General features: G+C 35.1%; 1 annotated feature.

The window, feature by feature from the left end:
• Positions 20,048–21,247: an enhancer, noted in NCBI's record as "P300/CBP strongly-dependent group 1 enhancer chr7:13818290-13819489 (GRCh37/hg19 assembly coordinates)". NCBI's record gives its function as "activates an origin of replication core promoter dependent on BRD2, BRD4, P300/CBP, MED14 and CDK7 cofactors, with strong dependence on P300/CBP, by STARR-seq in HCT116 cells {active_cell/tissue: HCT116}" and the evidence as "EXISTENCE:reporter gene assay evidence [ECO:0000049][PMID:35650434]".

The following is a 22,799-nucleotide window of genomic DNA, read 5'->3' as shown; positions in this document are numbered from 1 at the left end:
AGGGAAAGGATGAGTTAATGGAGCACTGCCACTTTAAAAAAATATTATTTTAGTATGATTGATCATAGCCTTACCATATTTTTCTACTTTGCCTTTTCATAACTAGAATTAATACAGATGCAGTCCAAGCTCAGCAAAAAACATTTCTGATAATGGGAATAGCTCTACTTCTGGAACCCCAAATGTAATCTTGACACGTTTATAATCACCTTTAAGAAATACAGAACAACAACCCAGTGTTGCTATAAACAGCATGCTATTTATTTTCAGAACTGAAAGTTTAGTGTGGAGCATGTTAAAATCCATTCTGCCTGTGTTGAAGGTATTTTTAGACTTCCAAAATTCATGTTGAAATTTTATGTGATTAAAAATATCTAAGCACTTTCATTTCCATCTTTTCACTAATATGTGGTCCTTCCGAGGGACTTATGAACTGAAGGCCTTTGACTTCTCTCTATGCAGTCTTTATGTCAAAAATATACGTGGTTCTTGGACCATAGGGTTTTTCACAACATTAAAAGAAAAATAGGTTTTCCAACCTTTGATCTCCACCCTGGTCTACACAGCTGTGTTTTTCATGGATCCAAGATCCACATTGCCAATTGGAGCAGCTTGTCAGGCACTTCCAACCCATTCCAGGAGAACACATTGCAGATTTTGCTTCCTGATTCCACTCATGTTTCCATTTGCTTGATATTAGTGGAATTCGAGGACTCCAAAATGTACACAAAACTCACAAATGTTGTGCATAAAGATTCAAAAATGAAGAACTGAAGCAATTTTCGAGCAAGTCAAACAGCAAAATAACTGTGACCTCAGGATTCATATCTCAGTACATCCTAAGATGATTTTTGACTTCTTGTGGGTCTCAACTGGTTTTTTGAATTTCTTTGCATCTGTTTTAGTGTTGAGATGAAGAATTCACTGTCCTGTCCTAGTAAGTACCACAGTGCGTATATTTGCCTAACTGGTACCTGACAAGTACACACTGCTTCCTCGTCTATCTTCTTAGCGATGGGTTTGCTTTGAGTACAATTGCTTTACATTGTTGAATCATGCTAGATTTGGTAGTTATAGCCAGAATTTTTCTTCCTTTGTAAAAATCATCTATAATTCCTTTATGCATACTTCCCTAAACTTATTACAAATAAATTTAATTTGGACAATTTCACAGTTGGAATTATTGGACTAGCTCTACACAGCAGTTAGAGCGAACCTCTGTGCTCCTCAGTCAGTAGCTCCAGGCTGCCTGTTGGTGCCTCTATCTCTTCTTACTAGTAACCTCATCTTTTCTTCATTTCTTTTTGGTCCAGTTTGAATTCTATGGTCCACGCTTTGAGTAACTCTCCTCCAGTGACATAAGCTCTCTTGCCTTTTCATTATATTCAGGCAAATAATCAACTGACCTCTTTATCTGTGCCAGTTCCTGGGTAGCAGAGCATAGCTAAAGAAAATAATACAAGATAATAGACTGATATGGTATGGTTATACCTCCTTATACCTTCCATGATTTCCATTCACTACCATATTCCATCAGTTTAACATGGTAATTATCTCTTGCATCCATTTATATTCATGTGTGCAATCACTATTCTAGTTAAAACCACCATTATTTCTTTTTCTATTCCTATAATTGTCAGCAGATGATATTCCAAGACCTACTCTTAACCCACTCTGATTCTTTTTCTCTAATACTCTTTTAAAAATTCATGTATGTTTAAGTGCCTCCCCTACTGTTAACGCTTGAAAGCTGCCCAATCCGCTTAGGATTAAAACCAAAATTTTTGACTTGGCCTCTATGATTCTGCACAATCTACCACTTCTCGGGCTGTCTGTACTGCACTGGCTGGCATCATCTTCTCATGATCTTTGGTGACCAGAGACCTCTTTGCTACCTTGAATGTTCTTACTCCTTTTCTTTTCCAAGGTAAATGCTATAAAACCTTCAGATCTTAACTCGGATAGCATTACAAAAAAATTGCTTCCTCCTGTCAACCCCACTCTATCTGGTGGCCCTCACCCAGTGACTAAATGACCAGGATTACAAAAAGGACATATCCTGGCCTCAATGTGGCATAATTCAGTGGTATAATTCATGTTCTCCAGAGCTCCCCATGGGGTGAAGTTCAAGTCAGTTTCCAGCTGAGACCACATTCTTGCTTAGCTTTCTTCCCTGCTTATCCTGATTTCCTGAGAACACTTCCTCAATTACTTACTCACACAAGAATCCTGATTTCAGGCTCTGTTTCTAGAGACCTCAACGTAAGGCAGCACTCTACATTTTTCCTTATTACACTATTCAGTCCTTTATATGTATATTTGTGTCTTTGATTTTTGTGTTGGCCTCTATATTGTAAGCTCATAAGGGAAGGAATTATGTGTGTTTTGCCCTTCTTATATATACAGTACCTCACAGAGTGCCATGCACATGGTGTTCAATATATAATATTCAACGAATCTAAGTATCATTATCCTGCCCCAGTGAGGGACAGGGTTTAACTGTAGGTTTCTGAGCAATTTCTGGCCATGATGAGTATTTGTAGGCACAGGGATTCCCACTCCAGGAAGAAAGTAAAATGAGAGGTCATGTGTTTATTCTTTGGTCTTTTTGACCTTTGAATCCTGTCTACCATGAGTTTAACATGGACATACCAAATCATGATTTTATCTTATTTTGGCTGACTAATTCTTGCATAGCTATATCAATATACATGTCCAATCCCTCGATATTAGCTAAACTCAAGACCTTTGCCCATTCTTATTGTCAATCCATCATCCAAACCGGTTCATTGATCAAACTGTGACATATTCTCCATGTCTGGAAGTATATGGAAATTTTTAAAGTTCCATGATTCAGAAAATAGAGACAACAGGTCAACAGAAATATGTTTATTTCTACAGAAAATTTAGCTTGCCTAGATCATTTCTGTAATTTTTTAAATCCTAAATTTTCCATTTTTGTTAGTGCTACTCTTTCAAAGTACCTATAAGCATATCTTTTATTAAGTATTTTATTAAAATACTAAATAATTTCAATCCAAGATTATTCTCTCTGTATTTCTGATTATAATATTTTCTGAGATTTTATATTTAGCATTAAAAAATTGGGGTTCTACTTAAATTACATTCCTCAAATATAATTATATTTAATTTTCTATGTGTTTCTCTGTATGTAAAGGGGAGAATGCTAAAGTTAGACCTTAGTTAATATGAGCAAATTGCTTTCAGTAAAGACGTTTTCTGAAGTAATAAATAAACAACTGCGAGGGGATGTTATGTATTTTTTTTCTTTTTAGTAAATTTTAGTAAATTAGATTTCCTGTGCCACCATTTATAGTCCCCCTAGTAAAGTTCCTTTTAACCTAATTCACTAGAGTGAATTATTGGGCATTGATTGAGTGAATAGTTATCAGGAGTCACAATCTGGCAGGTGGTGAGAAAAATTTTTATGAGAAAATGTTTGTAAAAATTATATGAGAAATATCTTCTCTTAAGTATGTCTCCAAGGTTGGTTATGAGTTTCATTATGCCATTGAAAAGAGAACCAAAGTTTCCATAGAACCACAGAATTCAGCAATCAAGTGAAGCTAGTTTTAGATTGTGAAGCACATGCATTAAACTCAGCCAATGCTTCATTTCACTGAAGTCACTTTTAGAAGCAATTGTTGCATGATTTTGGAAGGAAAATTTCATGGTTGGTCATTGAAAAGAGAAGAGAACAAACTGACTGATCTGTTTTTTAGAGGTTCCTCATTGCAGTTATCCTTATGTTATGAATACCCCTGCATGGTAATTCATCTTTACTTCTGCCCTTTTTCACGTTATGATCAATTAGCAGGCAATGGTAGAGCTGCTGATTAATTTCAGAAAAAAAGGTTTTAATAATTCTTGGATTCTAATTACTGAAAGGTAGTTAGGACTGGCATAAATTTCCACCTCCCTGGCATCATTTGGAAATACTTTTGCAAAATTAAATATATATCATTAGAAAGAAAAAGTAGAATAGAGGTCTTAAAGAAAAATAATATTTTAATAAAGTACTTTACATTTAAAATATAATTTTCAAAAATTTAAATATATTAAAATTTACTTTTAAAATATATTAATTTTAAATAATTTTTATAATTTTATAAGTATATTTATACTTAAAATATAATAAGTACCAACATAAAAGCTCCATTTGTCTTAGCTTCAAATTCAAACAATTCTTACATAAAATGTGATGGAGAGCTCATTAAGTTAACTAAAATCATAAAAGTATCCTCAGTAATTGGGTGATGGCTTTAACAGGTATTTGTCTCATACAAAATCAGAAATAAGACAACTGATTTCAATTTTGGCAGGAAAATATGGTAAATATTTAATTCTAAAATTTATATCTAAAAATGACCTACAGAAAGTTTCAAACAAGTTTTCATTAACAGATGATGGGGAAGGAAAGGGGAGTTCTATTGTGGAAAAGGAACAAAACATGTTTAATACACATCTTGCTGCTTGCATTTTTACATCTTGGACTTTAGGAAAGCCTTTTCTTTTTTCTTCTCTTTCTTCTCTCTCTCTTTCTTTCCTTCTCTTTTTTCTTTCTTTCTCTTTCTTTCTTTTTTTTTTGAGATGGAGTTTCGCTCTTGTCCAGGCTGGAGTGCAATGGCACCATCTCGGCTCACTGCAACCTCCACCTCCTGGGTTCAAGTGATTCTCCTGCCTCAGCCTCCTGAGTAGCTGGGATTACAGGCGCCTGCCACCACACCCAGCTAATTTTTTTTTTTTTTTTTTTTTTTTTTTAGTAGCGACAGGGTTTTCGCCATGTTGGCCAGGATGGTCTCTGTCTCTTGACCTCGTGATCCGCCCACATCGGCCTCCCAAAGTGCTGGGATTACAGGCCTGAGCCACTGTGCCCAGCCCACATTCATTTTCTATGTGGCACGGTTCTTTTTGAAATTCTTCTCTGATTCTATATGCACTGACATAAGCATTCTCTATTAAAGTTTCCCACCTTCTGTGCCATGCTTCTATGCTGTTTTGGGTATATGGAAGTAAATTCCAAACACACTAGTATACTGACCACAAAATTGGTGGAAACGATACTAGTGATCCAACAGCAACAGTGCTGTGTGACTTCTGATGCTACCATGCACGTAATTTTCAAACCAGTCAGCAACTGCACTGGCTTCTTCAGGCAAATGAAGCTTTAATTCATTAAAAGCTCCCAGAATGTCATCAGCTGGAAGGAATGCCAATTTAGGCAAATGATGCATTTTAAAGCTAAAGTTTTTGTTGTTGCTGTATTACATGGCCAATCTACTTATCTACAGTTTTCACCAAATGGATTGCGTTGAAAGGAAAAAAACAAACTTTATTGGTAATACTTTGAAATTCATTTTTAAAAGCCTTGATTGCACTTAATTCCAAATCTGTTGTTACAGTTTGGGGATTCAGTTGAAATCCATTTTCTTCTGTAAAGTTCACCAAATCTTCAAATAAGTGTTTATATAGTGCTTCACTTTTTTCAGTCATTAATACATAAAGGAGATAAGTTCTAGAATTTTTGAAACCAACAGGGGTATGAATTGTATATAGCTGATGAAAACAGTAGGGACAATTTTGAAAGTGTCATCCATTAGCCAAAGTGAAACATTTGCTAGTTTTTCTGCATTAGACTTAGTGGTAAATATAAGAAGTGTATTTTCTTTGATAGTCAAATCTCCAATCAAGAATACTTCACCATTTAATGTGTTTTATAACACTGGAGAAAGCTCAATATCAGCAAGTGTCTTTGGTTCGGAAAATTGCTGAGTTCGTCAAATCGTTTTTCTTCTCCAAAGGGGCATTTTTGAGGGCAAGCATGACACTATGCGTGTTGGGGCAGAAGCTGAATATGATTGATTTGTCAGGGGAAGATTTCTTGTACATTTCTCCTCACTTTTAACTTCTGTGATCTTCAAAAAACTAGCTGCACTTGTATTTGGAGGGTGGTTCTGGCTTACCAATTTTGTAAGTATATGCTGTTCCTATGTGATGGTTAATAGTGAGTGTCAACTTGATTGGATTGAAGGATACAAAATATTGATCCTGGGTGTGTCTGTGAGGGCATTGCCAAAAGAGATTCACATTTGAGTCAGTGGGCTGGGGAAGGCAGATCCACCTTTAATCTGGTGGGCACAATCTAATCAGCTGCCAGCGAATATAAAGCAGGCAGAGAAATGTGAAAAGGAGAGACTGGCCTAGCCTCCCAGCCTACATCTTTCTCCTGTGCTGAATGCTTCCTGCCTTTGAACATCAGGCTCCAAGTTCTTCAGTTTTGGGAGTCAGACTGGCTCTCCTTGCTCCTCAGCCTGCAGACAGCCTACTGTGGGACCTTGTGATCGTGTAAGTTAATACTTAATAAACTCCCCTTTATATATATAGTTTTGTCCCTCTAGAGAACCCAGACTAACACACCCTATGAAAGTCTGGTTATTGCTTGGCTGTCACAAGTAAGCAATTTTCTGCCTTCCCAGCACCAATAATAATTATCTTTTAAACTTTTGTCTTTCACTGTTAAATAGCCTTGTACACTTATCATAGCCTTTTTGCAAGGGAACAATTTTCACAAATCTCTCCATTGTGTTGTAAGAAATACAATCAGGAATGATATTCATCTTCCCCAATACCAAATCTGTATTAGATAGGGTTCCCCAGAGAGACAAAACCAATAGGACATACACACATAAATATATGGGATAAGACTTATTAGGGGAATTGGTTCACACAATTATGGTAGCTACAATATGTTAAGCCCATGACAAGCCATCTTCAAGCTGGAGACTCTGGGGATGCCAGGAGTGTGGCTCAGGCCTAAAGTCTTGGAATCCGGGGCAGCTACTGGTGTAAGTTTTGGAGGCCGAAGCCTCGTGAGCTTGGAGTTCTGATGTCCAAGGCAGCAGAAAAAAAGTCTGTCCTGGCTCTCAGAGAGGGTCAAACTCACCTTTTGTGTTTGTTCTTTCCAGGACCCGGTGGACTGGATGATACCATCCCTCTAACATTGAGGACAGATCTTCCTCACACATTCCACTCAGACTCACACACTAATACCTGGAAACACTCTCACAGACACACCCAAAATAATGCTTTATCAGATTTTGAGGTATCCTTTAACCCAGTCCAATTGACACCTAAAATTAAGTCCACAAAGCCACCCCTTTTCAATTTAGCACCCATACCCATCTCCTCAAACCATGCTTAACTTCCTAATACAGACTATAATAAGGCAATAGTTCCACCTAATATGATGCCACTATACTGTGATTGTGATTTTCAGGATTTCAGACTTTAGAAATTTTAGACTTTAGGGATTTTAATTTTTTAGAACTTCAAGATCTGGGATTATGGCATTCAGGATTGTGTCTTTTGTGATTACGATTCACACTGGAAAACATAGAAAACACTTACCAGAGAGCATCTTAATAGACATGATAACCTACAGATCCCATTTGGCCGGTTTCCAAATTAACAACATGGAGATGGTCTTGTGATTAGTAGCTGACATCCTGTTCCTGAGTAAAAAATCTTATTGTGAGTCCCTCAAACTGTTATACTGACGAATACGTAACCTATTGACACGGAATAAGACACTGGCTTTTTTCTGAATCATAAAGTTTTGCTGATTATCTTGCACGTGAAACATTTTAGCCTGTGTGTTGTCATCTGTAGCCAATGACTGTCACCTCTGTATTGTGCCCTCCAATAAAAAAGGACAACTTTGGTATGAGGAGTCCCCCTTCCTTTTCCTATACTTTCTTATAAAAATATTTCAACTTGTAACAGATTTTGGAACATGCCTAATTTTGTTGGTGTGTCTTCCTGGTTCAATCTTCACATTTAGCTAAACTTTTATCAATTTTTTTCTGCCTCAACAGCCTTCATTTTGGTCCACAGAAACTTTGTCTTGCTTCTCTTCTTTCTGAGTATTTCTTGGACTCCTGCATTTCCCCATGGTGTATCATTTTATTGTAATTGAAACACAGTGATTGGCTTTTGGTGTTTGCAGGTACAATCTTTGGGGGAGGAAATTCCAAAAAATAAAAATTCCAAAACCCTGTGATACTGTCAAATATATTGGGTAAGTGGTGAACAGATTATTCTTGATTTATACACTATTTGGTGCGGACTTTTTGTGATATTGCAAGAGATGATTGAAAATAACAAAAAATAATCAGTTAGCAATTCAACTTACTCTTGGTTATAAGTATGTTTTTACATTGATCTGTTAAATCAATTGTTAGGGCTTTCAGTATTCAATTGATAAACAGGTACGTACTGGTCACTGTGCTTGTGCTATGTGATTAGAGAGATACAAAAGAAATAAAGAAAACATGGGGTGCCTGATCACTGGTAACTTGAAATTCCTGCCAGGAGACAAAACTAGCATAGGTAAGACAGTAACAGAACAATAATTTGCCAAAGGGAAAATATATATTCTGATTTAGTTAGAAAAGGCTTTAAGCCAGAGCGAAATTCAAGTCAGTACTTCTGAGTAAATTTTATTTCTGTAGGCAGGCAGGAAAGAGGGAAACCTTCTATGTCTGGGAGAGCAGAAGTATGTAGTGATAAAGAACTGTGTGTAAGGACAGTTTAAGCAGTAGGACAAACAGGCAGTCATCCTGGGAACCTTTGCCTAAGTGGAGTTGAAACAACACTCAGGAGGAAAAACACCATTGAAATACAAAAAGATGGAGAAAGCTGATTTTTTCTAGACTTTCTTTCGGAGAGAATGAATACTCTATGTTCCTAGAAGAGTATTTTAATAAGAACTGGAGTTGCTATGAATGATCCTTAAACTTAGTTCTTCAGAGGATAGATTTGGTAGGTGTCAGGGCTTGTTTGTGGGAGTGGGATTGTAAGTTTGAGATGGAGCTAAGTTGCTTGGGACAATAGAAAAGAGTCTTTTTCCGCTCTTCTCTTAAAGTGCACCTGGTTTCTGCTCTGGATAAAAGTCACAGTCTACTATTTTATGAGGTTATTAAATTTCTAGCATGATTGGGGCAACCACAGTTTGTCATTGTGCATGCTTTGATCTTGATGCTATTCTGGATGAATGTGGAAGGCCACTATTGCAAAGACCGAGACTATTAAGGGAGAAGGAATGTATGATACAGAAGAACTTAAAAGCCGGGCAAAATGAGTTGTTGGTATTTGTCATATTAAGCAATGATGATAGGCACTTGGACGGAGAGCAGAGTAGTAGTTTGAAAAAGAACTTGGGCAGAGGGGATGCCAAGACAGAGAATAGCTATAAGGAGACGGGTTTTAAATTATGTCATTTATTTAGGTGTAAGATGATAAATATTTTGACAACAATAACGACTGTTAGAATGAAATGGAAGAGATAAATACAAAACATTGTTCAACTGATAAGTAGTAGGGCCTAGAAAGAGTGCATACAAATAGAGTGAAGTATTGAAGATGATTTTTTTTTTTCAAGTTTGGTTAAGAAGAGTCACATAAATATTTGGAAAAAGAGGCAATTTGGTGAAGTTACTGCTACACTTTGAATATATGGAATTTTAGGTTGAAAAAGGAATATTTATGCTTTTTTTTCTAATGTCTGCTAATTTGTTACAATCCTTACATAATTTAGCAATTGTACAATTTAAGAAAAGAATGATACCTCACAAGTGAAAAGTAGTTGTAGATAAATTCTAGGATAAATTGAATATGAAGTAATAGTGTTGTACAATTGTCTTGAAATTTAGCTTAGTGTAGTTGTTTTTAAATTTCTATCTTGAAAAATGATAAACTTTAAATGATTATAGAAAGAGTTAAAATCATGACAACTATTCACCATTTGATGATTGTTCTGTTTATGTCCCTATTTTTTAAACTGGTAAGGAAACCACAGTAAATAAAAATAAGATGTAAATAAAGATGATTAAATTATATCTAATTTATTTTATATAAATATATATTATGCTTAATTATTACTATAAATACAGCTACAAATTACTTGTAACCTGGTACATTTGTATCTGTGTGATGAATCCTCAAAACAAGATTTGCTGGCTCAAAATATGTGTCTTTTTAATTTTAGTAGACTTAGAAAGCTATGGCAATATATAATCTTACCCACAGAATGTGAGTACTTATTTCCATATGTAGCCTATTAGGTGTTTTCTTTCCGCCTATGCAAATTTGATGTGTGCAAAATGGCACATCACTGCATTTCTTTGACAACTAGCTATGATAAGCATTCTTTTACATTTATTGTCTATTTGCCATTTCTGTTTTTCGAAAGACCTGCTTATATTCTGTGTCTGTTTTTCTGTTGGATGATTTGTCTTGTCCTCATCTTATCATAAATATTAATATTTTTATTTTCATATTGTTAAAACAATTTTCTTTTAGTCCATTTCTTGCCTTTGACTTTGATACTTGTGTTTTTACATGATTTTTTAAAACAGTCAAATGTATAATTTTCATGTCTTTCAGTTTTTGTTTTTCTGCCTGGCAAAAGTTCATATTCATCTTAATGTTAGGCAAATATTTTCCTAACTTTTTTAAAAATTTTACAATTAACTGTTTTTATCATTTAGAACTTTATTTCATTTAGAATTTATGTTTGTTTATATTGTGAAGAAGTGACTCATATATTTTATTTTTGGGTGGATGGCAATTACATAAAACTATACAACAAATTAAAGTTCTTTTTAGTACTCATTAAAATGCCAAATATATAATATATTAACTTCCCAGATAAGTCTATTTCTCTAAAATACGTTTCTATAATCTCTAGTACGTTCACTAATTTAGCTATTTATTCTTGGGTTAATTCCATATAGCTTTGAATAAAGATTTATAATAAATGTTACCATATTGTAGAGTTAATTATACCTCATTTTTTTCAAAATTGTAAAGCAATTTTTCAAATATACTTGCTTATAACAAATGTAAAATCAGTTTTTAGAAACTCCTTTCCCTGGAATTTCTCTAAGGATTTTGATTAAAATTGCATTAAATTTATGTAATAGTTAGAACACATTTCAGTTATTCTGTTTCCCATTCAAATCTGTTTTATATTATATTTTTACAAGTTTTTATATGTATTATATCTATCTTCTTACATTTAGTCTTATGGATTTTATAATTTTGGCCATGAGATACAGAACAACAGATTCTACATCAGATACAGGACCACCTACTAACAGCCATAGGTTAATAAGATTAAGACTAAGACTGTCTATTAAGGTGACTTTACTGTTTGATCATCTGCACTAACAGAACATTATTATTCCAGGAAATTTTTGCTCAAGATAATAACATTGAGAATAATTATGTTATTTGTTTCAGAGATTTCCAGAAATTTCATTTGTTCAAATTCTATGCAACTTGGTCTCATTAGGATAAACAGCCTTCTTTTCAGAAAAATTAGTTTACTTAGTTGGGTTTTACTCTTTACGATTTGCTTCAAAACTGTCATTTTGCTTTTTCCATCAATCCTAAACCATTATATGATGATTCTACTAAGAGTCTGTGGAGGTTGTGGTCTCTCTTAATGCAGTAAACAATTAACTTGGCTTTACTTGATGAAAATTATTTTAACAGACTGGTTGGCCAGTTGACAGTCAACAGTTATTGTGGTTTTCTTCCCTATTTCCATTTTTAACTGCCTAATAAGAATATTTTTAAAAGCTATTGAGTTATTCACCTATAGTGCTAATCTCTTCTATTAAGTCTAAAATTTTTCAGAAGAATCTGCTGGATTTTTTTCCCAAAGCTAATCATATAATTGGGAAATAAAAATACTGGTTTTTTCTCAATTTCATATATTTATGCTTATTAAAAAGAAATCCTGCCCTTATTTTATTAAAAGCAAGGTGAATGAATACAGTGGCAATAATCATATTCATATTATTTCTGATTTTCTTTGGATTGTCTTTATCATTTCATAGTATAAAAATATTTAATATTAATTTTTATAGTTTTTGCATCTTAGTTTTTTTTCTTAGTCTTATTTTTCTTAGAGGTTTTGTTAGAAATGGTTAATACTAAATTTTAGCAAATGTATTTTGGCATCTATTAATATAATCTTATGGTTTTTAAAAATCTTTTCTTTTTTCTAATAATGTTAGACATTGCCCAGTGTTGAATAATGCTTGCTTTACTAGAATTATAATCAGTGATGGGTTTGATTTAATTTTTAAAGACTTTAATAACTTTATTTTGACATTCTTGAAGTTGCCAATATTTGACTACTTTTGATCTAAAAATGACAATTTTATATGGTTCAACCTAAATAGCAAGTACGAAATAACCATTAGGTATGATGAGTCTCTTTTCCTGTCTTTGACCTTGAATTGCTCTCTACCTGATGTTAATATTGCACTCCATTTTCCTTTTGTTTGTACTTCTATAATTTGTTCATTTTCTTGTTTTCAACTGGTCTTTGATATATTGTTTTACATGTGAGAATTCTAAATGAATGCTGCTAGAGTTCCTTATTTTATTCAATCTTACAGTATTTGCCATTGCCTAAATTCAACGCTTCATATTTACTGTGATAAATAATACTTAAAATATTTTTATTATATTTTAAGCTGATTATTGAGTGAATTTTGTTTTATTCCCTTCATTTCCAACTTTTTTTTCTTATGCTGACTTGACTGAGTTTCTTTCTGTTCCTCCTTTTCTCCCTATTTTAACTTAGAAATACGATTGTATTGCACATTCTATTACTAGTTAGATTCCCGTTGTAACCATATATGTAAATATATATCCACCATCTGAGCAACATTAAATAATTACTAGCCTGCACAGGACATTTTACATGACCAAAATCTCTACTGAGGAAGATGTTAGGGATGCATTTATTTATTTATTTTATTTTATTTTATTTTATTTTATTTTATTTTATTTTATTTTTTTGAGACGGAGTTTCGCTCTGTCGCCCAGGTTGGAGTGCAGTGGCGCGATCTCGACTCACTGCAAGCTCCGCCTCCCGGGTTCACGCCGTTCTCCTGCCTCAGCCTCCCGTGTAGCTGGGACTACAGGCACGCGCCACCATGCCCGGCTAATTTTTGTATTTTTAGTAGAGACGGGGTTTCACCGTGTTAGCCAGGATGGTCTCGATCTCCTGACCTCGTGATCCGCCCGTCTCAGCCTCCCAAAGTGCTGGGATTACAGGCGTGAGCCACCGCGCCCGGCCAGGGATGCATTTATTTAATGCTACCACAATTTCTAGGTTTAAGGAATTTTTATTTTTGAACTATGAAAAGTCTTTGAGAATCTTTATTTAATACTTTTGTTATAATTCACAGTCATACCGGTTTATATATATCCTCAAATTTAAATATATATGTATACATACACATATATGTGTGTATATATGTGTGTGTATATATGTGTGTGTGTATACATATACACATTACACATTGCTATATACACACATATATATATATATTGCTCTCCACTTTTTCATTTAATTTTTTTGTCTTATTCTGAAACTTTGTTCTTATTAATTTGTCATTTGGTAGGAGCATGTCTAGTATTTTCCTCAAGAGTTATGAATAATTACAGAAGGTATATACATTATTTCCTGCATGTCAGAATGTCTTTTTTTCTTTTTTGACGTAAAAAACAGTTTTATTTGACCTTTTTTTTTTTTTTTTTTTTTTTTTTTTTTTGAGACAGAGTCTCTCTCTGTTGCCCAGGCTGGAGTGCAGTGGCGCGATTTCGGCTCATTGCAAGCTCCGCCTCCTGGGTTCACGCCATTCTCCTGTCTCAGCCTCCCGAGTAGCTGGGACTACAGGCGCCCGACACCACGCCCGGCTAATGGGTTTCATCGTGTTAGCCAGGATGGTCTCGATCTCCTGACCTCATGATCCGCCCGCCTCGGCCTCCCAAAGTGCTGGGATTACAGGCGTGAGCCACCGTGCCCGGCTCTTTATTTGACTTTTTATAAAAAATACAGTGATTATAGAGAAAATAAAACACAACCTTTTCCTCCTTTGTCTTTAGATTTTATAGCATATTTAAAAAATATGAACAGAAGTATAAATCTTAGGGTGAATAGGTAAAAGTTGTGCTACTGATAAAAATGAGATCTGGGAAGCAAGGATGGGAAATGAGCTGAGGTTTTAAAAAAATTCTGACACATTAGAAATAGTTATCCTTATGATAATAAGAATTGTAAAGCCTCTATCTTTATAGTAATAAGAAAAATAAGAGTAACATCTCTGTTTGGAGATGACGGGATAAAGTTAACCACAGCAGAAAAGGCAGACCCATTTGAATTTTTTTTTCCTGTCATCTTTTTCTTCATGGAAAACAGTCTTCAAATGAGATGATTTGCCAGGCGCCATGGCTCACACCTGTAATCCCAGCACTTTGAGAGGCCGAGGTGGGCGGATCACTTGAGGTCAGGAGTTTGAGACCAGCCTGGCCAACATGGTGAAACCCCATCTATACTGCAAATAGAAAAATTGGCCAGTCGCGGTGGCAGGCGCCTGTAATCCCAGCTACTGGAGAGGCTGAGGCAGGAGACTCGCTTGAACCGGGGAGGTGGAGGTTGCAGTGAGCAGAGATTGCATCACTTCACTCCAGCCTGGGAAACAAAGGGAGACGTTGTCTCAAAAAAAAAAAAAAAAAAAAAAAATATATATATATATATATGTATAAAGTTATAATCTGATATTTACTTGCTTAAGGTTAAATTGAGACTCAAGTTTGCCGAGGAGTAATTATGAAGCCATTTCGCAGCTCTCACTGCGTTCCTGTCTCAGGCCTAGACACTGTTTAACTTTGTGTACTGGAAAAACTAGAACATGTGATAACAGAATCACTTCAATAATTACCAAGTTAATGTGAAGTCTTGGAGCCATGCCAAAACACATACATCTATAATATAGAAACTATAGACAAATACATCTGAAATTTCTTCTAAACAAAAACTTCTAAAGCGTATTGCTAGAATATAGTTATTTAATATTTAGAAAAAGAAATTGATCATGACTATGGAGCAGGAAAGACTTATGAAACAGTATTATAATTAACCTTATTTTAAAATTTTAATTGCATTATCAGGTGTCTGTAGAGAGAGTGCTTTTTGTATGAATATTGTATATACACAATAATGTATGCTAATTTGTAGTTTTAACATATCTATTTTGCTTTTATGTAAGAGTTATATCTTTGCTAAGAGTTTGTTTTTAGTTCTTTGTGTCTGAAAGCCTGTAAAATCAGCTTTATCTTTAGAGTTCAGTTATTTCATAAGTTGTGTCTAGATGTATCTTTTTTATTTATTATAATTTAGATTTGGTAATTTTTTTCCAAATTGAAAACTCGAGTTGATACTCAGCTATGCTGAGGTCTTACTATAGTGTTCTTACATCAAATACAATATTTAAAGCATATAGAAACATAGAAAAAACTAGTAAAATTTTGAACATATGATTTTGCTTTATTTTCTTCCTCCTGTTTTGGCTTGTTTAGAAGTAACACATTAGAGATTCAGTAGCGACACTGTTATTTTCTTCCCCTTTTTGAGAGAAGTAATTGTTATCCTCAATTTGTTGTTTGTTATTCCTATGTGGGTTTAGTCTGTCTGTATATTATGTATGTTATGTATACATAATAGAAACGTAGTATTTTATGGTTTAAAAAATTTGTGTGCATAGTATTATTGTATATTTATAATCCATATACTTGCTTTTTTCATATAATATTAGGTTTTTGAGATTTATCCATGTCGATTCATGTGTCAGTATTTCATTCATTTTAATTCAATATTGAGCTACATGAATAAATAGCAATTTAAAAATAGGCTGTTTAAATTTTTTCTGTAATTTTGAAATACATATTCCTGTACATGTCTCTTTATAGATATGTGCATGGGTTTTTCTTACGTTGAGTGTTTCTGTATTGCTTTTCTATAATCTTTGCCCACATTTTGTATTAACTTTTTCTTTGGGTTTAACTTTTTCTTCTTGTTTTGTAAATGTTCTTTATATTTTTAGATACTAGTCCTTCATTGTTTACATGGAATATTTTTTCTTCTAGTTAATGTGTTTATGGTGTTTACATCAATGGTTTGTGATTTTTCTTTGCCTACCCGTAGGTATAATTAATCTCAGCATAGCACAGATAGGTTTTGGAACCTTTCAGGCTGTGGGGTCCTGGAGAGCTTTCTGTAGGTTGTTCAGGTAGGAAAAACAGAATATTCTACTGGGCAATAGGGAAAAACTCCTCTCGGGTTAGCCCTCTTTAGTACCAAGCAGAAGAGAAATGGCTCTTCTTGACCATTGGGTCACAAATAAGTCAGTTTATGAGTACACCTTCTTCAAGATTTGGCTTATTAAATAGGGTACTCCCAGAGAAAAGCAAAGTGCGAAAACCACGTTTCCACTCCACAACAGAGATTCCATCAGTGTCTGCCACCAAAACTCTCAGTAGCCTTAACCCCAAGTCTGTTGGTCTATTGATTGTCTCCCAGGTGTTACCAAAATGAAATACCTAACTGTGCTTTTCTCTGGAGTATTTAACAGCAAGATTAATTTATTTGTTAAACCTCTTTAACAAGGAGCTGTGGAGGATGGGGCTGGGGATGTGAGCTCCAGTGGCCATTTTCCCAGAACCCTCTACTCCATATCCTGATTTCAAATTTTTATGAAATAAATATGTATTAAAGGTGCCTAGAAATATATTATCTCATTATCTTCAGGCTCATTATCTGCTTTCCTCTGACTTCTGAGCTTTCCCAATGTGCAATAATGAGATGGAAATTAATCCCAAACTAGCCATCCTTGTTTTTTCTTATTATTGTACCCCATTAAAATGTTTGAATTTTAGTGAGGTTACCATTTTTGACACAATAGTGTTTCTGAGTCACCTGTGCATTCCTGTTACCTATGGTGACAATCTGTCCCATTGCCCTGGAGATTCAAAGTGATGAGTTATAGGAAGATGTTTCTTAAAATAAGGGAAAAAGAGTTGGAGAGATTGGATTCTAATTCCATGCTTCTCCAATTCTATTGTGCATATGAATCACTAAAATAATCCTTTTTAAAAAATGCATATTTTAGGGTACAATTTTTGTAGGGTTAAGAAATTCACAATTTTTAATGAGCATCCCAAGAGTTTTGATATAGATGATCTGTAGATTAAAGTTTGAGAATCACTGCTTTAAAGAATGGCACTGAGCTTTGTTTGAAGAGTTCAAAAGGATTTTATGAAGGAAAAAGAGCTGTCTGAGCAATGGAAAACTTAGGTCATATAGATGCAAAATTTCTCCATCCAGTTTGTATACAGGCACTCCTGAGTCTGAGAATCACTGTGCATATGTGGAGGGTACATTCTAGGCTACTCATATAAGTATAAAAAACATATTTCTGTTTCTTCTATAAGATCTTTATGTAAAGTCGGTTCCCTCTTGCATATGGTCTATATTGTTCACTCATTCACTTATTCACTGTTTGCCTTGGAATTACCTTTGAGTTCCACTGTGATGATGACAGAATAAGAGATAGGGTAGTGCTAAAGACACATTTCTCCTTATTCCCATCATTTCCCAGCCATATTGGAAACAATTCTTTCTGCAAAATCCTACCCTTTTAATAAGTCTCAAGGAGGAAAGGGGGATTTTAAGGCCATGTAAGTTTGGCAAGCATTATATATTCTTTTCTGCTCTGACATATTCACAATGCATATCAGCATGTTAAAAGGCTCTGAGAAACACTGTTGTAAAATATCTGATCCTTGGTCACCATAATTTCATTCTGATTAACTTAAAAATACATTTTTAGGAAACATTTGTGTTTAATGGGTGTTAACGGTCTCAGTGTGTCCCCCTCAATTCTTATGTTGAAAACGTAATCTCCAATGCAACAGTGTGGGCAGGTGGGGCCTTTTGGGAGATGTTTAGGTCACGAGACTCTTCCCTTATGATGGATTAATGCCATGATAAAAGGGCTTTTTGCCCCTCAACCTACTACCGTGTGAGAACACAGTGCACTGCCCCTCCAGAGAATATAGCATTCAAAGGCCATCATGGAAGCAGAGAGCAGCCCTCACCAGACACTGAACCTGCTGGTATCTTGATCTTGAACTGCCCAGCCTCTACAGCTGTGAGAACTAAATTTCTATTCTTTACAAATTACCCAGTTTCAGGTATTCACTTACAGCAGCACAAAATGCACTAGGACAATGGGGCTTCTACTTAATTCAAAGGTGTTTGGTGATGGTAAGAAGAGTGCCAGCTCTAAAGCCTCAGATTTTGTTGTATTTTTCTTTGTCTTCTCAGTGTTCAATTCAGCATTTAGCTCATAGTAATCAAACAAAAACTTTCCTTAATAACCATTTGTTGAATAAATGAATATATTACATTTGTGTGGTGGATGTACACTACCTTGAAAAGAATGTAAAATCCTAAGTGGTAAAAGGAAAGAAAGTGGCAGTACTTTATCACATGGAATCAGCTAGTGTTTACTTGAACAATTCTGTGGATGGGAGTTCTGCTATTGGCTAATGTCATTTTCATCAAGGAGAATAATCTTCATATTGCAGTACAGTGAAAAAGTTATATAAAAATAGGTTTTATGATTGTTTACCATTGGGGATTATATTTTATAATTATATTATTAATTATTATAATTATATTAATTATTATTATAATTATATTATTAATTATTATTATAATTAATTATTATATTATTAACATGGTGTCAAAGTTGAAATCTTGCAAATATCAAAGAGCAGAAAAACTCCAAGCCATAGAATTGACATGTGACTATGACAAACTCTGGTCAAGTTCTTAAATGGATTAATAAACAGACACTTTATGAATCTAAGAAAAGAATGCAGTGATTATAGAATAAATTTACTAGAAACTAATGCCAGATCAGACTCAGTTCCTTTTTAGGCAGTGTTTATTTGACTAGAAAATCTGGGGAGTGCTCTACTCTAGATATATTATAGCTTGATTTTGGAAAAGCATTTGACATTTTCTCATCTTTATATTTAAAGACGAGTTGAAAGTAGAACTATGGGAAGAGCAGGCCTTGTTAGCAGTTTTACAGGGGTATATGAATCTGGAATAGCAGTGGATTACAAAGTATCTAAAATTGTTTTTATTTCTAATGACCTCATGGTTATTTACTATTCTTATCATTAAACCTTAAACAAGCTCCTCTATCTCTCCCACTTCCTTCTTGTCCTTCTTCACCTCTCCCTTCATTACCTCATTCTGCTCCTTTTAATTCTTCTTGTCACATTTCCATGTAAAATGGAAATCCTGTTTGGAATTACTTCTCTTTAGATCTTCCCAGTTAACTACTTTTGTTAAATCTAAAATGGAAAGAGTAAACTTCACTCTTTGATACACAGGAAATTAGAGGCTTTCAAATGCATTATAAGACAAGTTCTGTAATTTTGAAAAAAAGAGATTAACAGTTCATTTAATTGCTGTTAAATTAGCCAAAAAAGTGAAACATTTTTTGGAGTGTTATTCACAATAGTTAAATTAACCATTCAATTATTTGAGCTAGAGTAAATATATAAAAATATATCAGCATATCAATTTTCACAAATATGTTTGCACATAGAATTATATTTCCTTGCCACTATGAGCAGAGTTAATTACACATATGTGAGTTCTAGTTGAAGAAAGCCCAATGTACCAGAACGTCAGAGATTGCTGGTTTGGGAGTTCTATTCTTATACTACTAATGCATCTGAACATCCCTTTTTAATCTTTCATATTTTTTGCATGTAAAATTTTTAGAAGTAATTTAATGCCTTATTCACTTAATAAAGATATTTTGTATTATCGTTTTAAATAGGTGGTTAAGAGTCACTATAACTACATCAAAATATGATTCAATTTATAACTGCCTTATGTCACTTCTCAGGGAGCATTTGACTTCCTGGAGTGAACTAGGAAGCTGCCCTTGCAATTGTATCAGTGTATTTGCTCCCATCACACTCTCCCTAAACTCTCCTTTGGTCCCCAGTAGCTCCTGCATATTTTGAGACAGCATAGCACACTGGTTAGGATTCACAATGGACTCCAACAGACTTGAAGCCATGCTTTACTTATGTCACTTACTGTAACAGTGGACTTTATATGTCAACCTCACAGGATCATGGGACACCCAGACATTTGGTTGAACCTTATTGTAGTATATCTTTGAGGATGTTTCTGGATGAGAATAACACCTGAATCTGTAGAAGGAGTAAAGCAGATTGTCCTCCTCAGTGTAGACGGGCCTCATTCAATCTGTTGAAGGCCTGAATAGAACAAGAAAGGCTGAGTAAGAAAGAATTCTCTCTGTGTGCCTGTATGGGAGCTGGGATATCTGTCTTCACTTGCCTTCAAACTAGGACTCTGACCAGAACTTACACCACTGGCTCTGTTGCATTTTAGATCTTCACACTCATACTGGAATTATATTGGCTCTCCTAGGACTAAAATTCTTAGCCTCCATAATTGTATAAGCCAGTTCCTTATAATAAATCAATAATCTATCTAGCTACCTATCAATCATTTGCTAATTGATCCACACATCCTAATGGCTTTGTTTCTCTGGAGAACACTGACTAATACAATGACCATTTATTTTATTTGTGGCATGTAGCTTTTTCTTTAGTCTTCAGTTTTTTGAATCATAAATATGTGGTATACCACTCAAAATCTGCCTAGCACTCTGCCCACACTCCAGAACTGAAGTGCTTATCCTGAAGTTGCCTGGCAGGGTGGCTGCTGCTGACTCACAGATGAGTCCCCTTCCGGAGACTGCCCCTGCCCTCACGCAAGGCCTCAACCCTCCCTTGGTGCCACCCACATCCAGGAACTACCACTGAGGGTGTATATGCCCCCAGCCACTTTGCCACAATTTGCACAGCTCTGCAGTGCTCTCCCAGCTCCAGTGCTCCATCCAATTAGAAAGGGCTGAGACTTGTGATCATACCACAATACAACTTTTTCCTATCTTGCTAACCCCCCCTTCCATTACAGATGTTAATCCGGAGAGCTCTTCCCAATAAACTTCCTGTATTCTAATACCTGTCTCGAAGTTTACTTCCCAGGGTACCTGATCTGTAGCAGTACTTACCTCATAGGGATAGCAGTGAGGTTTAAATAAGGGAAAATCTTAATAAATGTTACCTGCTAATATCATCATTATTAATAAGGATGTATTGAGCTGTACTTTCAGCCCAAATGCTTTTACAGTTACAGTCAGATGCTCTATCTTAGTATCAGATTGGTGAGGGTTGAAATCTGATTCTGTCACTTATTGGCCATGTCATAATTTGCTTCACTTTCCTGTGTCTCAGTTTCTTCATTTGGAAATGAATAAAGATAATTCCACATTACAAAGTTATTTTGTGGGTTCAATGAGATAACTACATGTAAAGGGCTTAGAACAGTGCCTGGATCACAGGAAATTCAATGAATGCTAACTATTATTATAACTCCTATAATCATTGTTCTCTACTTAGCCCCAATAATGTAACAAGATGTCTCTGCCATAGCACTCACTTCAGGACACCTAGAGTTTGAGACATCAACTCTAGAAACTATCCTAGATAGATTATTTCTTTTTTTTTTTTTTTTTTTTTTTTTTTGAGATGGAGTCTCGCTCTCTGTCACCCAGGCTGGACTGCAGTGGCATGATCTAGGCTTACTGCAAGCTCCGCCTCCCGGGTTCACGCCATTCCCCTGCCTCAGCCTCCCGAGTAGCTGGAATTACAGGTGCACACCACCACACCTGGCTAATTTTTTTTTGTATTTTTAGTAGAGTCAGGGTTTCACCATGTTGGCCAGTCTGGTATTGAACTCCTGACCTCAGGTGATCCGCCCCTTTGCCTCCCAAAGTGATGGGATTATAGGCGTGAGCCATGGCACCCTGCCAGCTTGAGTAGATTCTAAGTCCTGGGACAGAATAGTATACTGGGAGGAAACAGGGGACGAGAACTTAGGACTACAAAACTTGGATCTAAAGTTGACTCTCTCAGGCATGTGTCTTTCATGAAAAACTTTGCTTTAGAAACTTTTGTTTTACTTATTTTTAAATAAATTTTTACTTTGGAATAATTTTTGGTTTACAGAAAAGTCACAAAGTACAGAGCGCCCAAGTTCCCTTCACTCTGTTTTATTCTAGTGTTCACAACCACAGTACATTTGTCAAAAGTAAAAAATTAAGTTTGCCACAATACTATCCACTAAACTAGAGACATTATTCATATTTCACCAGTTATTTCACTCTTGTTAGTTTTAGTTCCAAGATCCAATTAAGAATACAATATTGATCTTAGTCAATTGTCTTGTCTTCTTACTCTTTAGATTTGTGATAGCTTCTCAGTCTCTCCTGGTTTTTCATGAGCTTTAAAGTTTTGAAGAATACTTTTTAGTTATTTTCTAGAATGTCCCTCCATTGGGGTTGAAACGATGGGTTTTTGGGAAGAAAACCACAGAGAAGATATGTCCCCCTCATTGCATCATATCAGGTGGCACATGACATCAATATGACATCCCTGGTGATGTGAAATTTGTCACTTGATAAAGGCGATGTAGTTGTTCCCTAGTTCTGCTGTAACAAATTACCACAAGTTTAATGGTTTAAAATGACACACATTTATTATCTGATAGTTCTATAGGTTAGAAGTACAACATGGTTATCACACGGCTAAAATCAAGGTGTCAGCACAGCTGTGTTCCTTTTTGTGGGCTCTGTTTCTTTGCCTTTCCTAGTTTCTAGAGGCTGTCTGCATTTCACTAGCTCATTTACCTCCATCTTCAAAACCAGATTCAAAGCCTCTTCAGATCTCTCCCT

This window comes from Homo sapiens, chromosome 7 (assembly GCF_000001405.40).
Source record: "Homo sapiens chromosome 7, GRCh38.p14 Primary Assembly".
NCBI lineage: Eukaryota > Metazoa > Chordata > Mammalia > Primates > Hominidae > Homo > Homo sapiens.
Note: the sequence above shows the minus strand (reverse complement) of the source record. Positions and strands in the feature narration are given on the sequence as shown.